Source organism: Homo sapiens, chromosome 20 (genome assembly GCF_000001405.40).
Source record: "Homo sapiens chromosome 20, GRCh38.p14 Primary Assembly".
Classification (NCBI taxonomy): domain Eukaryota; kingdom Metazoa; phylum Chordata; class Mammalia; order Primates; family Hominidae; genus Homo; species Homo sapiens.
The window spans coordinates 15,891,178-15,905,057 of record NC_000020.11 but is presented as its reverse complement, the minus strand read 5'-3'; the positions used below and the strand labels follow the sequence as shown (position 1 = coordinate 15,905,057).

Below are 13,880 nucleotides of genomic sequence, written 5' to 3'. Positions count from 1 at the left end.
CTGAGAGACATGAGGTAAAGAATATGATCGTACACCTAAGGGATGAAAATAGAATTCAGGGATCTGATTCCTAGTTCAGGGGTCTTTCCATTAGCTTGCAACTATTTTCCTTTTTCTCCCTCTCCCCCACCTCTTTCCTCCCTTTCTTCCTTCTTTTTTTTTTTTTTTTTTTTTTTTGAGACAGAGTCTCTCTCTTTCGCGCAGGCTGGAGTGCAGTGCTGCGATCGTGGCTCACTGCAAGCTCCGCCTCCCAGCTTCACATCATTCTCCTGCCTCAGCCTCCCGAGTAGCTGGGACTACAGGCACCAGCCACCACGCCCGGCTAATTTTTTGAATTTTTAGTAGAGACAGGTTAGCCAGGATGGTCTCGATCTCCTGACCTCGTGATCTGGCCACCTCGGCCTCCCAAAGTGCTGGGATTACAGGCGTGAGCCACCGCGCCTGGCCTCTTTCTTTCTTTCTTACTGTCTTCTTGAGCTTGGCAATCATAAATGACAGCAATTACATGATCATTCCTTAACTGGGAAGTTTCTTATTGAAAAGCAACAAGACAAAAACAATAAAAAAACACCTTTTATGGGGAGAAACATAGTGAAATCATACTATCTAAATCACATAAAATAATCTTTTTACTCAGTTTATCTTGTTTGTCAATATTTTTGTGCTTTTACTCTTTTTGATATTTAGGAGATTTTTCTTTGTGCCTGAAAATTTTGCTTTTGCTTAATTGGAAAATTTGGGCTGGGCACGGTTGCTCACGCCTGTAATCCCAGCACTTTGGGAGGCCGAGGCTGGAGGGTCGCTTGAGTTCAGAAGTTCGAGACCAGCCTCAGCAACATAGTGAGACCCTGTCTCTAAAAAAACAAACAAACACAAATTAAAAATGTAAAACAAGGAACTTTGGCCTCGGGGTGCGCTACTATGGCCTTCCCGGGGTGAGGAGAGCAAGAAGACATGATGGACAAGAAGACTGTATGAATAGTGAAGAACTGTTTTTCCTGCAATGTTTGAATTAAGCATAACCAGGGTACAACTTCTATTCTGGATTCAGTAGTGGCGGAGAGAATGAAAACACCCATCTATGCCTCCTCTCTTTCTCTCACATGCCACATTCAACATGTCTGTGAATTCTGTTGGCTTTACCTTTAACGTGTCCAAAAGTGACCAATTATCATTCCTGCCTTTCGCTGCTACTTGGATCAAGCCATTAGTATCCCTTGCTCCAATAAACTCTTTCCTGTTTCTTCCCTTAGCCCAGTCTATTCTCAACACAATAACCAGAAGATTTCTTTTAAAATATAAGTTAGAGCACGTCCTATCTCTGCTTAAAATGCTCTCTTCCCATTTCACTGAGAGAAGCAGTCAAAGTTCTTACAGTGGCCAACAATGCCCAAGGCAGTGATTCTCAAGATATAATCTCCATCGTAGGGCATCACCTGGAAGATTATTGGACGTGAAGATTCTCAGCCCCACCCCCAAACCTACTGAATCAGAGACTTTGGGGGTGAGACCCTGAAATCTGGGTTTGACACACCCTCTGGTGATTCTCATGCACACTCTAGTGCGGAACCCACCCCTCTCCAGGATAGGCCTCCAGTGACCTCTCCAGTTACTCTCCTCCCCTTCACTCTCTGTTGCTGCTGTCACATGGACCTTCTTGCTTTTTATTAGGGTAAGTCAGACGCCTCGATCATTGGGGCTTTAGCATTTTGTGTTTCCGCTGTTGTTGTTTCTTTTTTTGAGACAGTCTCACTCTGCCACGATCTCGGCTCACTGCAACCTCCGTCTCCCGGGTTCCAGCGATTCTCCTGCCTCAGCCTCTGAAGTAGCCGGAATTACAGGCGTGCGCCACTACGTCTGGCTAGTATTTGTATTTTTAGCCTCGAACTCCTGACCTCGAGTGATCTGCCCGCCTCGGCCTCTCAAAGGGCTTGGAATACAGGCGTGAGACACCGCACCCGGCCCACTTACTGTTTCCTCTACTGGAACACTCTTTTCCCAGAGAGCTGCCTGGCTTACCCCTTTATGCTTTTCAGGTTTCTTCTCAAATAGAAACTTAATAATCAGAGAGATCTAACATATTTTAAAACCCAACCCAGCTGTCTCCTAATTTCCCCCACCACACACACAGGCTCACTCCCACACTCATACACACTTGGGCATTTCCTAGCTCCTCCCCTGCTTGATTTTTCTCCATGGCTCTTGGCATGACGTCTCCCATGAAGTTGTTGTCACAATGTCAGCTACGTCTGCAGTCATCTGGGGGCTTTCTTGGGACTGGAGGATCTGACTCCAAGACGGTTCACTCACATGACTTATATCTTGGCGCCGGCTGCCAGCAGGGGGCCTCAGCTCCTTGCCATGAGAACCTTTTCACAGAGCTGGGGTCCTCATACATGGCGGCTGCCTTACCCCAGAGCAAGTGATCCGAGAGGGCGCAAGGTAGAAGCCATCTTTTGTGACCTAAACTGTCACACATTAGCATGAGATATGGTGGCCCAGAACCTCAAGATATGCTACTGTCCAATTCCTGACTGACAGAAACTCCGAGATAATAATTGCTTATCGTTGGTTGAAGCTTTAGGATAAATTTTCAGGCAGCAATAGATAAATAATTTATTAAACATTGTATCCATTTTTTATCTGCCAATCCCCAATGCCACATACCCTAGAATAAAAGCCCCAAGAGAGTAGAGGCCTCTATTTTATATATAGAATATAAGCCCCAAGAAAGCAGGGGCTTATAATATATTAATACATATATTATATATTATATTGTGTTCAGGGCTTAGAACAATACCTACACCGTCAAATGGTAGGCATTAACAAAAGTATGTGGAATGAGTGCTTGGAGAAACTGGATGGTGGGCAGCTATGCTGATGTGGTTGGAGGATGCAGTGGATGTTTCTGCAGTAGCATCATTTTGCACAACTATAGAGGACCTCATGCACACTGAATTCCATGTGAGTGGAGACTTCTGGGAGCACAGCTCCATGCAAAACTAATTTTGACCTTGTGGATCGCTGGAAGGGCTTTGGGGGACCTCCCCCAGGGTTCCATTGGCCATATTTTGAGAAACACTTATCAGGGAAAGAAGACTACAGGCAGTAAGAATAGCCCAGCCTCAGAAGAGAGATTCTTGGTCCCAGAATCTTACAGAAATAGCTGAGAGTCAACAGATCTCAAGGGACCATGAGGACCAAACAATGACTGTCTCAGTGGCAAGCTCTGAACTGAGGGCCGATAACTAGAGACCACCTCTTTCCTCATGCCCCTGACCTAATCTGGTACCCTCCTTAAAGTTTTAGAGACAGTTAAGTAGAGATTGAGAAATGGTTGAGATGTGTGGTTGTGTAAATATTGGAGATAGGCTGCTGATGCTCCTTGACTTAAGATGGGGCTATGTCCTGATAAACCCATTGTAGGTTGAAAATACTGTAAGCAAAAATGCATTTAATACACCTAACTTGCACAGATGGGCATTTTGTAGACATGATGAAATGTGAAAACACAAAACAATATCCAAAAACTGCTGACAACACAGGCCACTCTAGAGTGCGGTATCAGTTGTTTACCGTCGTGATGGTGCGGCTGACTGGGGGCTGTGGCTCACTGCACAGCATCATGAAAGACTATCACATCGAGAGTCCAGGAGAACATCAAAATTCAAAACCAAAGATTTCTACTGAATGCCTATTGCTTTCACACCATCAAGTCAAAAAATCCTAAATCAAACCATTGTAAATGGTGGACCTTCTGTAGTTTCTTGGGAATCTGGACTTGAAGATAAGGGGAATAGAGATCAGGAAGATGAAGACAGACTGGAAGAAAGTCCCTTTGGGACTGGAATTAGTGCAACTGGGGGCTGGGGTGGGGAGGCATGCAGAGTGTGCTGAGTGAACCTAAGGGAAAAAGGAGAGAGACAAACCCAGCTAGATGTGCGATGCAAGCAATGCATTTAAAAATGTATCTCTGCTTGCAAAAGTATTTTGTTCACATTAAAAGGAATTTCAAGCATTAATAAGCAAGGTAGGGGAGTCTTTGGTGGGAGGGAGCTCTTCTTGTTTCAAATTCAATATACTCACTGACCAGCTCTTCTGTCTACTCAATGTGCCCGGTGTTTTCCATAAATCATCTTATTTAAATTGCCCTGCAGTCCTGCAAGATCAGTTTCCCTTCTGTCCATTTAATGTATGAAGAAACTGAGTCTTAGGTTAGAAAAACTGCCCAAGTAGGAAGCAGAACATGGACAATTGAGAGTTCTGTCCATACTCATACTGAACTGTTTCTCTATGGGTATGAGGGTCCATATATGTTATCACCAAACTTGGGTTACCTCCAAGAGTGAAAGGGAACATTGCTAACAAATGCCAATGGCAACATGCATAAATTGGGATCGTTCCCAGTCAAACAGAACCTGTGGTTTCTCTGCCTTGGTAGATTCAGCCCTTCTCACAATGGAAAATGCCTTAATACTCACATTCTCTAAGTCCCATTTAAAGTCCTAGAGCTGACTCTGAAACAGGACTCTGTGGTCTGTTTAATGGGTAAGCATGGGGAGCACCAGTACAAATGAAAATAGACCACTGGGTCCTTCTACTACTTTGTGGTGGTGGATAGTTCAGAATGGCCTGGAATCAAGCAGAATATAAGAAAAATATGATTAAAGCAAAATGGTGGTATAGGCATTTATTGTATTCTGATTTTTCACCATGGAAATTTACACATTTTGCTTAAATTCTTGATATTTTAAAGTCTAGAGGATAAAACAAAGCTTTTCTTCAGGGGAAAGCTGCTTTTCCTGGATCCTTATTTTGTTAAAAGCTGGTCAATCACTAAGCTCATTTGAGTGATGGCAAAGTAAAAATTATGACTGCCTGATTTTACCCTTCACTGCACTTGTCAAAAAAATTAAATTAAAAATCGTGCTTATGAATATAATGCATGAACTGCTGCATGGCATTCTGAAAGATAGAATGTCCCTTCTGTCCAGCCACTCACAAAACAGCATGTCACACGATACTTTAATATGCATAGAAAATAATGGGGCAGAGAGAAAATTCTGCCTCTCGGGAAATACAAGCTACGTTCCATAAATGGTTCATGTATTCAGAAAAATTTATTTTAGTAAAATAATAATAATAATAACTTTAATATTATCATTAGATCCCTCAAACTGGCATAGTGCTTTCTAGTTTCCAAAATGTTTCCACATATAATTTCATCTGACAAAAGACATCATTAATATTTTAAAGTGCAATATAGGTTTGCTTGATTTAGAATTGCAAGGGTTCAGTTTCCTGATGAATGAGCATCCCACGTATGCCTACTGAATATTCTATGTAAAGGCAATTGTGGAGCAAGAGTCAAAGTGCTAGTGCTTTCTGTAAAAATATGATGGAAAGTGCCATTTGTTACCAAAAGCCACTGAAGGCTTTGGAGACTCAGGTATGTAGAAAATTACTGTTTGAAACATGCTACTGAACTTAGCAACATATAGTCCATTTAGTTCTTGTTTAATGAAAATATGTGTTTGTTTTATAAAATAACTCATTATATGTGTGTATGCATATTCAATTACACATAAATTTAGAAAGTGCAATATTAAACTCTCCAAAACCCAACTGTGCTCCTTCTTCACTCCTCCAAGATAATTTCTGAGGTCAACTTGATATGTATCTTTCCAGGCTATGTATTAGAAATGTATGTATGTGTATAGATATACATGTATATGTATATATGTATATATGTACACACATATGTGTATATATCTGTATGTATGTAAAGATACATATATACACGTGTGTACATATACACACATATACATATATACATATATGTCTGTGTGATTAGATAAGTAAATAGATGCATACATACATATACATAGCACATACCTACAGATATATATACACCCATATATTTGTATGTGCATACATACATATATACATACATATAGATAGCACACACCTACAGATATATATGTGCACACACATATATGCATGTATATACATACATGTGTACATATATATACATACATACAATAGATAGCACATACCTACACACATATATATATGCACACACACATATAGGTATGTGTATACATATATACATATAAGGTATACACATATACATACTATATGTGTGTGTGCATATATATATATAGTAGGTATGTGCTATCTATATATATTTACATATATATGTATGCATCTATCTATCTACTTCTTGAATACATGGCTGAGCTGGTGCTTTTGTAAGGGAAATTCTTGAAACCGAAATGATAAAGTGCCAGGATCAAGAGTTCTAAGCAGGCACTGAAATCAGTATTTGCTTTGAGGCATCTGCCAACCCCAGGTAACCTAGACTCAAGAACAACAGTTCTCAAGTTTGAGCGTGCATCTTCAGATGAAGAGCTTTTGAGAACACAGATTACAGGACCCCACTTCAGGTTTCTGATTCAGAAGGTCTGGGACGTGAACCTAGAATTTGTTTTTTTTTTTTTTTTTTTTTAGACTGAGTCTTGCTCTGTGGCCCAGGCTGGAGTGCAGTGGCTTGATTTCAGCTCACTGCAACCTCCGCCTCCCAGGTTCAAGCAATTCTGATGCCTCAGCCTCCTTAGTAACTGGGATTACAGGCACATGTCACCACTCCCAGCTAATTTTTGTATTTTTAGTAGAGACGGGGGTTTCACCATGTTGGCCAGGTTGGTCTGGAACTCCTGACCTCAAGTGATCCACCCGCCTCGGGCTCCCAAAGTGCTGGGATTATAGGCATGAGCTTCCAGGTGAAGCTGATGGATGCAGATTCAAGAACACTCTTTGAGAACCACTAGCTAGAGCTTGGATTTGAATGAGCCACACGTGTGAGGCATGGAGGGGCCCATGCTAGGGTCATAAATATAGTGGGAGATTTGCCTATGTCAGTTTTAGCATTGGTCGTGAGAAAAAAGGGAAAAAAAGGTCTCTGTTGAGATTTCCTCATCTTATACATGGACTAACATGGGTTTAAGGACCATTAGCCAACAAAATAAAAACAAAACTCTAAGCCAAATATGTACTTTAAGGTATTGCTAAGGTAATATCTTCAGGTATCTTAGAAAACCAAGTGTAAATAAATGAGCTCTTAAAGCAACATCAAAAAAGCTTCCATAAGTAAAAATCCAAGGAACATGATCATCAAAAAGGCAAAATACACGAGGAAATAACCAAGTGCAGAAGTTTGCAGAATCAATAAACTGCAGAATCAGACTTGTACAGACTAGAGATATTAAATTTATGATGCAGATTATTAAAGGTATTTTATGTGTTAATTAAATAAAAAATGGCCATGTATATTTGAAAAGGAACCAAATAAAACCTATCAAAAAAGAAAACTATATTAGAAATACAGTGAAGAGTTAAACATCAGATTAAATAAAGTTGAATAGAAAATTAGCAAGTTAAATGACAGACTTGAAAAAAATTAACCGGAAGGCATCAGAGAGAGAAGAGATACAGAGGACAAAATGCGATATGGGTTAAAAGTCATGAAGAACAGAGAAAGAAAGAATAGAAAGTAATAGATTAGAAGTTATATTTGGTGCAGTGATACGTGAGAATTTTTCAGAACTAATGAAAGATGCCCATTCCGAGATCCAAGAAGTACAGCAAATTCTAAGAAGGATATATAAAAATGAATCTATACCTAGGCACATCATAGTGATACTATGGAACACAAAAGGTAATGAGTAGATTGTCAAAACAGACAGAAAGGAAAAACAGATAAGCTTAAAAGAAGCAAAAAACAAACGGAAATATTCCTTAACAACTACAGGAAAACTTCAAAATGTTGCAAGAAAATAACCATCAATCTCAAATTTTTACCCACCAATACTGCTTTAAGAAAATAATGCAAAATAATACCATTTTCAGACAAATAAGGCCTGAGAGACTTTCACTAAAGGAACCTGTAGATAATTTACTTCTGAAAGACAAAGGAAGAAGTGTGAGAAAAGTATGCTTTATTAAAGGTGCTAAGTTTTCTACAATAATATTCTTTCAACTTTTTGTAAGAAAAAAAAAGGTCTAAATTATGGGGAGTTAGAATTAATGCAACTGGTACTAATCAGGCTTTTTTCCAAACAATTCTGTCTATGCCTTGCTGGTTCACAGATGGCATTATCATTTATAGCACATGACAGCCAATCAATTAGTAACTTGAAATTACTAATAATTTCATTATTGGTATGGTGTTGAGTGTGTGAAACCAAAGTACACAGCAGTTCATGAAATTTTACTAAAAATAATAAAATCACTATATTCAAAAGTACACAGCATAAAAATGCAAATAAATACATTTAGAAGTTGTTTGATTTTTAATTTTGATGTTCAGTATCTTAGCGAGATATTTACTAAAGTAATAATGCTTCACTCAAGGTTATAATGTTGACAATATTTCTTCCTTCAAAAAATTTGTTCTAATTTCCAGGAAAGAGAAAGAGAAAAGATTACAGAAGCTGTGTTTTTTCTAGAAAAAAAAAAAAAAGATTGTGACATTAACAAACTGCGTGGACTTGGGCAAGTTAAAGAAGCATTTGCAGTCTGTACTTTAAAAAAATTCTGTAGAATGAGAAAATTTGACCATATGTTCTTGAAATTTTTCTTCTGAATCTAAATACAGTTATTATGACTATATATGCTGGAAAATCTAGGTGAGTTTGTTTTCTACAACCCTTTCTGAAAATGTGCATTATCAGTTAAAAGGTGGAAATCAGTAGTACCTGTGAGGGTGGGAAGTGGGCCAGGGAACCCTAAAGAAGGAGAAAAGAGAGATGGGGCCAAGTGTTGGGGCATTAAGCTGAGAGATCTATAAATAAAAATACCAGGAGCTTCTCTTTCTAAAAAAATATGAAATGACCAAGCTAAAAAAACATTGATAACTCTAAGCTGGGAAGAAGATCTAGAGAGGAGAGTAATGATCAGCATTAAAATTTGTCCCTCTTCCAGTGATACCAGATTTCATTTGCATATCCACTAGGAAAGAATGATTGTAACTCTTTGTATCATAACAGGAAATGGAACACATGCAAGAGTACAATGCATGAATTCAGAGACATAGGTTATTTTGTCAAAATAGAAACTCTGATAAGTAATAAGTGCCGTATGTGTGGTAAACCCAGCTGATAGCAATCACTTAACCATATCCTGAGAATGAACCATGTGGTGGATGCACCTCAATGCGGTTCAAAGTTCTCAACTAGAATCCAGGAGTGGCAACCCGGAGATTGATTCCTTATCTACAGGGAACATCTGAGCCCCCGGCCCATCCTGTGGAACTCAGGCTGTACAAGGGATGGAGGCCCTTTGTCTTGGGGTAAGTAAAGGTTGCCATTGCATGTTTTTTATAAGCGGCTGTGGTCCTCCTGCCCAGGCTGCCGCCACCAGGCCCTCTCTCCTGTATGAAAGCCCCCAGGAAAACCCCATGTCTCTTTCAGTGATTCTGGGGCTCTTCTTCAGCCTCTCGAACCTGGTGTCATCCCCTCTAAAGTTGGGAGGGTTTCAGCACAACAGCATATCATGGAATCATCCACCGCTGCCTGCCGGATGGCGCTCCCTTTCTCACTCCTTGCCCAGCTATCTTTACTTTTTATTTGTCTTTGAAGCCCTCTTAGGAACAAATGAACAATTCCTATGTTTCTGGAGAGTGCCTCACATTCACATTTCACCACAGACAGAATGTCCCTGCTAGCAAATCCAGTTACCACATTTTCATCTTTATGATTCAGAGCAGATTGTTAGACCACATAATTACAGGAGGTGAAGCTGTATTATTGAGTCATATTAGGATTCGGGAATGATGTTCCTAAACAAAGCAACTGATTTAGGAAGTAAATGAAGTTTTCACACATTGGAAGGAGTAACTTGGAAGAATTCCCTTCTTTAATTAAAGGCGGAAGAACTGCTACAGCTTAATAGCTGTTATATGAGGCTCAGAAATGACAACAGGCTCAGGTTCTGGAAAACAACTTTTGACATAGGTTATGGATGTGATGGGAATCATTTGGTGAGGTAGAGTTTCTCTAGGGGAAAGGTGAGTATTGCTTTGCCCCAGCTCATTACCCAAGTGTGGCCTTAAGAGATGGTCTAGAAAATGACCGAACTACAACAGGAGATTTGGAAGCCCCAGCTACTCTCCCAACCAGGCAGTAACAAAGCTTAACATCTTGGGTGAATTATTGCAGCTGGCCTTTTTCCTGGTTCTAAGTGTTCTCCTCTGAACGATTTTAAACTTTCAAGCACATTTCACTGAATTAGGGCAGTGCATAATCTACGATGGCCATGATCATCATATTGATAACAACAGCCATCACTGACAGAAGGCCAGGCCAGTGCTAGGCCAGTACACATGCTATTTCTACTCTTCATTGTCAGTAGGAAATATTCCTCCTTTGCTCCTTGTGTAGAGGAGGGGTCACATCTGTTTCTGTGCCTTTCTGCACCTCTCCTTTCTTACAGTAAGCCTGGGAGAAGGAAACAGTTCCATCTTGTGTCTCTCTCAGACCCACCTGCCTACAGAGAAGGCGTGTTCCTGGTCTGCTCATCCTATAACAAGCTGATCAGGGCAGTCTTGGTCTAGGAAGCTGAGGACACCTGCACTCGCCTGTGAGGGGACAGTGATTAAAGCTTTCCTATTTAGAGCTGAAATTCAGGGTTAGGAAGCCTGTCTAGGAGCAGGGCAGCCAGATGCTCTGGCCTCATCATGTTAGTATTCAAGCTAATGCTTTGATTTCCACCTTTCTTTCAGCTTTGGCTTCTCGATTGGTTCTGAACTCCCAGGAAGGTGAAAAAGCAGCGTCATTACTTAGCACCGGAAGCCCCGGCACTCAACAGGGATACTGTGCAGTCCTGCATGTGAGCAGCTCAAGAGTTCTTTTCAAGTGAGACCTGCTGCTAGGAGAGAAGTAAGCTGACAGCACCCAGCAACCACACTGTTGAGAACCCCTGTGGCATCATGTTCCTGCTGAGGCCGGCCACTTTCTTGCCAAACTACTTGCAGCCAGTGACTGAGCATGGGAAAGCGAGACCCTAGAGCCCAGCTATTCCTGCCCAGTGCAGGACTCCTCCAGACTTCCAGACTGCACTGCAGACTGAGGCACTTCCTAGCTGAGCCTCCTTCTTTTCTTCTCTCCTTTCAGCTGCTCCTGCTCCATTGCCCATTTCTCTCACCTTTATCCTGCACTTCTGCTTCCATCTTGGCATCTTCTTCCCTCAAGACCCAACCTGACACCATCAGTATTATTACACTCTTCATTTCCCAGTGGAGGAGGTGGGGATCCAGGCAAGAAAGACAAAGCGTAAATATGCTCCCTTTAAAATTTTGTACTGCTCTATCGCTTCTGGGTCTTTGGGCTAAGATCAAGTGTAAAAGTTTGTACTACTCTTAGGTTTGAGGTTCACATGAAAAGAACATCTCATCAACATTTCAAAAGAAAATTTGAATGAATTGTATGTTGTACTAGTGTGTAAAAGAGAGACCGTGTCATTTATTCATAAAACTGAGTCCAGTGGGACCTGCCCATTCAATGCAAAAATGCAAAGGTATGTAGGATCTTAGAAAATGAAAGACAATGCTAAAGACAGGAACCATTTCCAGCATCTGTTGTTGAGGTCCGAATCTGGAAAGACTCAGAATGTATTTATCAGAAAAACAATTTCCCCAGTAAGACAATAGCTGCAAAGCTGGTCATCACATGCAAATCTTGACCTTCACTTTTGCACAATTTTGGAACATGTAACTGGTAAGCACTACCTACAATTTTTTGCTTTGCAGACATGGAAAATACAACATACTGACAAAATGGACTTTTAAAATTTGGGTTTTACCTTAACAAAATAAACTTGAGTCTGATTCTTCATCTTCAAACATATTAGAAAGGGATAAAAGAATTTCTCTGTGATATTTTAACCCTTAGGAATATCTGAACATGAGTGTGTTTGTACACATAATTTAAAAATTAAATATGTTTCTTTTCATGGCATAATTTTCTAAAGGAAGGAGGGACAGGACTTACCCTCGCTAGAGTCTTTCGAACATTCTGGCTTCTTTGCTTTGCTCTTTTTGTAGGGTGGAGAGAGGCCTTTTGGCTCTAACCCCTCTGGAATCACGAAGATTTAATATTCTCATTTAAATATTTACCAGTAGGGTTCAAAATTATGTGAAATTTAAAAATGTTTTCTTCTTAGTAAACCTACACACACGCTGAATCTTAATTGCAGTTTCATCTGTCATCATGGCTGAGCGAAATTCTGGCAAGGACTTGTGGTTCTCCAACCTACATAGACTTAAACTTAAGGCTTAAGCTAAAACATTTTTGTAGATAACATTAGTGATTCACACAAATGTAAAATCTTACACATGTGCTTTTATAAATTTAGAAATTCTCCATAAGGGAACCCTGTTAATATTTTTTCCTCCAAGAGTGTTCGATTTCAATCTTCATAGATTAATTGACAATTGTCATTGTGCAATTTCATCTTACTCAGTCCTGAACGCAGGGCTAGAGGAATGGAGAAAGGAATGGGGCTAGAAATTACCCTGCTTCTATTTAACAAACTGTTTTTAGTAATCCAGATTCTAAACAACTTCTGTATGTCCCAGTTAAATTACTGTGCTTCCTATTTTCCTCAATGTCCCTCTAAGTCTATCCTTGGGGGCAAATAAATTAAAGTCTGAGGACAGTGTCAGGAAAGCATCTCCGAGTTTATTTCATTTGGATATAGAACACTTCATTAGGTGTTAATTTATGTATTTAGCCCTGGTCTTCCTATTGAGCTCATGACTTACATCTTCAACAGCCTACGTGGCATCTTGTCTGGGATTTAGGAATGGATATCTGTTTGCCCCTCTAGATCCACTCTCCACCTTCACCACCCCTGCTGTGCTCTGGGAGGCTGAATTTTCTGGATTGCATGAATGAACTCCCTGGTTCATGTAGCCAGTGGGGAGCTCAGGGCATTTACTTTCTAGGCACCTGGTGGTTTTCATGAGCTGGTTGTATCCCTCAATCGAAGGTTACAGATCTTAGAGTTGGCCTTCTCCATGTGGCCCTCTAAGTTTCTTGGCTCCCGTAGCCACCTCCTTCCCATTGTCCCTTCAGGGCTGGTACTTAACTATGCCCCACACTTCACAGCACTAATAATTTCCTTTCCTGCACTCAACTCCCATCAGGCCCTTTCAATTTTTTTGTAAAGGACCTCATCAGGCATTTCAAATTTGAAATCAGACAGAATCATATACTTGATGTTTATAAGCATGTTCTTTCCACAGTATTGCACATCTCAAGGAATGGTATTACTATCTACCCAGAAATTTAAACTCCAAACTGAGATGTCATTCTCAATATTTTTCTTCATTTACTTTTCCAGTTGAAGCAATCGTAAGTTCTATCATAAGCCCTATCAGCTCCATTCTAAAATAGATTTCATATTCATCTACTGTGTTCAACCTTTGGAATCACCACAGTAGCCCAGACCAGCATCTCATAACCCTCTAGCCTTCTAATCTCCCTGCTTCTACTCTTTACTCTCTACACTCTATCCTCAACACAGCAGCCAGTGTGAGCTTTTGAAACATAAACCAGATCACATTGCTCACCTGTTTAAAAACCATTGCTTAGAATAAGATCCAAATCCAATTCCAGGCCTAGCACAGCATGTCATTGGGGCCCCGCTTACCACACTAGCCTCACCTCCCTCTTGTGTTTGGCTCTAGCTTTGTCAGTTTCCTTTCCCTTTGTGTTCCTCAATCACTGCTAGGCTGGTTCCTGCCTCAGAACCTTTGCACCTGCTGTTCTCACCCCCACTCCTCCAACACACATATTCATATGTCTGCTCCCTTCTCACCC

General features: G+C 40.5%; 1 protein-coding gene and 1 long non-coding RNA gene across 10 annotated transcripts in view; one reads left to right on the top strand and one right to left on the bottom strand.

Annotated features, from left to right (window-relative positions):
* LOC613266 (uncharacterized) overlaps nucleotides 1-12,725 on the top strand; it is a 93,550-nt gene extending 80,825 nt beyond the window's left edge. For both annotated transcript variants that reach the window (NR_130924.1, NR_130925.1), the window contains exon 2: nucleotides 10,781-12,725. This is a non-coding gene — a long non-coding RNA (uncharacterized LOC613266). The remainder of the gene's footprint in view (nucleotides 1-10,780) is intronic.
* MACROD2 (mono-ADP ribosylhydrolase 2) overlaps nucleotides 1-13,880 on the bottom strand; it is a 2,057,682-nt gene that overhangs the window by 148,140 nt on the left and 1,895,662 nt on the right. The window lies entirely within an intron of this gene.